General features: G+C 67.5%; 3 annotated features.

Moving 5' to 3' along the window:
- Positions 333 to 908: an enhancer, noted in NCBI's record as "H3K27ac-H3K4me1 hESC enhancer chr22:50622054-50622629 (GRCh37/hg19 assembly coordinates)". NCBI's record gives its function as "activates a minimal SCP1, AML or CMV promoter by ChIP-STARR-seq in naive H9 embryonic stem cells {active_cell/tissue: H9 hESC(naive)}" and the evidence as "EXISTENCE:reporter gene assay evidence [ECO:0000049][PMID:30033119]".
- Positions 1,794 to 1,863: a silencer, noted in NCBI's record as "silent region_13950". NCBI's record gives its function as "represses an Ori minimal core promoter by ATAC-STARR-seq in GM12878 lymphoblastoid cells {active_cell/tissue: GM12878}" and the evidence as "EXISTENCE:reporter gene assay evidence [ECO:0000049][PMID:35858748]".
- Positions 2,054 to 2,153: a silencer, noted in NCBI's record as "silent region_13951". NCBI's record gives its function as "represses an Ori minimal core promoter by ATAC-STARR-seq in GM12878 lymphoblastoid cells {active_cell/tissue: GM12878}" and the evidence as "EXISTENCE:reporter gene assay evidence [ECO:0000049][PMID:35858748]".

Consider the following 2,423-nt stretch of genomic DNA (forward strand, 5'->3'; position numbering starts at 1 on the left):
TCAAAAGCTCTGGCACCCCAGGTGCACGTCCTCCACCTCCACCTGACCCTCTTCCCAAGGCAACCCCGCCTGCCCCCCACGGCAGAAGGGACAGAGCCTGCCCAGAGAAAAGCAGGCTTGGGAGCAGAACTTTAGAAGACAAGCCCAGCCTGAGATGTGGGTGGTGGCCCAGGGCCTGCGGCTGAGGTCCTGCCTCAGTTTCCCCAGCACGCTCCCTGAGGACTCAATCTCCCCCTTTTCTGCTTCTCGCCCCTCACAGCCTAGTGCAGCCCTGCAGGGGACCCCAGCCGGATCGGAGGGCAGTTCTGCTTCTCCACTGTCTGCTGCCCACCGGGGGCTGGGATCTCGGACACTCTCCCCTCCCCAACTGGCCACCTTGCCCAGGTGAGTCAGAGGGTCGTTCTGCAGCCCGGGGGCCAGCGTTGGTTTGAAATAGTGCCCCCTCCTGCCCCTCCCCCTCCCTGAGCATAAGCAGGCCTGGCAGGTGGATAGAACCGTCCCTCTCATGGAGAAGGAGGGGCTCCAGGAGGACCTTGCACCCATCCCAGATGGCCAAGACTGAGAACCCAGGCCTCCAGCCCCCAGGCCAGGGATCTTCCCTCCACACCAGCCCAGCACTGAGAAATGGGTGAGGTGGAGCCGGGGCGACTGCCACCCGCTGCCCTCCTGTGAGGATGTGGCCGAGATGGTCGGAAAGGCAGAATGACCACAAAGGCAGCGAACAATGAGAATCAATGGAGAGGATGTGAACCAGAGGCCCTAGGGCCCAAAGTGAGTGTCCTTCACCAAGGAGGACAGAGGCCTCTCTAAGGCCAGGCCTGGCCATTTGGGGACCAGGAAGCTGTAGGAGGGGGCGGGGCCTCTTGTGTAAGAATGCTCAGTGGGCAGCCAGCCCAGCCTGCTGCCGTGTGGACAGGCATTTTCACCCATCCGCCCCACCCCGGGAGGACCACCTGCAGACTCAGGACCAGGGACCTGAGGGGACCCCTGCAGGCCACCCGAGCCGGGGCAGCTCCTCAGAACCTGGGGCTGGGGCCGGGGCCTCCCTTCCTGGAGCCTGGAAGGAAGCAGGCTCCCCAGCACGGAGTCCTGGTGGACGGCCTCAGGCAGACCCAGACCAAGCCTGGGCGCTGCGTTGGACTCCCCCAACCCCAGGCCTGCTGGGTCAGCCTTCCAGGCTCGCTGAAGGTTCCTGCGTGGGGCAGCCCTCACTGAGGTCCTCCCCGTGGCTCCAGAGAGGAGCTAGTCCTAGGGCACTCGAGTAGAGAGGTGCGCCCTCCTCCCTCTTCTAAATGGTTCCCCAGCTGGCCCCACCTGGCCCCTTTCCCCAACTAACTCATCAGTGCCTGGCAGGAAGACACAGCAGCCCTCCCCCGGTGACTGGAGTCCTGGCCCCAGGGCAGGCCCCGCTCCAAGAACCTGATCCTTTGGCTGGGGCAGGGCCGTAGAGGTGGGCGCAGAGCTTCGGGGAGCTGGCTGTGGGGTCCGCGCATGCAGCCCGCAGGCAAACCATTGCCAGGCCCACGCCTGCACTAAGCCCAGCGCCAGCGCCAGGTCAGCCAAGAACCCGGGGTCGTGGAGGAGGAAGGAAGTCGTGGGCCCGGGATGCGCGGCCGGACCATTGCAGGAGAGCGGGGCAGGCGGACGGCGCAGCAGCTTGCGGGCAGCGAGTCGTCTGCATGCGGCGGCGAAGCGCCCGGGCCCCCGTCCGCGCCGGTGCCCGCAGCGCGCAGCAACTTGGCCGCCGGGTCCCGGCCGCCCCGGTAGAGGCTGGGTACAGCGAGGGGGCCGGGCGCCCGGGCAGGACGGGCGCGGCGGGTGGGGCCTGGCCGTCTCCCCCTGCCCTCGGGGCCGAACACGCACAGCGAGAGTCTAGCGTCGGCGTGGCTGCGGCCAGCCGGGTCCCCCTGGAGGCCTCCGGACGATCGGAAGTGACTGAGCGTCCGGGTCCGTGAGGCCGGGGGTCGGCCCGCCCTAAGACTCCCACCTGGTCCCGGTTCTCCGTCCGCTAGGCTGGCCGCGGGGCCCCTGGGGCCCGACCTTCCCGGGGTGCCCCAACCTGCGGCAAGGCCGAGGTCCCGCTGAGGCATGAGTCCCGGGTCGGGGACCGCTCTGGGCCGACCCCCGGAGGACGGACTAGGCCGATCCCCAGAGGGAAGGGGGCCAGGCCGAGGCCATGGCAGCGCGTTCCCTGATCCCGTGTTCTCGGCTCCTCGCGTCCCACTATCGGCTGTCCCTTTCGTGCGGGACTGACGGCTCACAGAACAGTTACATTTCAATATCATTCGACTGAAAACCATCCTGTGGACGCCGTGCGAGCATTGTCCCCATTTCACAGCTTGGGAGCTGCGACCAGAGAACGTGGGCGCGCCTCGCAAGGCCGTGACCGCGGCGGGACTCGAACCCTCCCTCCTGAGTGCGCG

This window comes from Homo sapiens, chromosome 22 (genome assembly GCF_000001405.40).
Source record: "Homo sapiens chromosome 22, GRCh38.p14 Primary Assembly".
NCBI classification, from domain to species: Eukaryota; Metazoa; Chordata; class Mammalia; order Primates; family Hominidae; genus Homo; species Homo sapiens.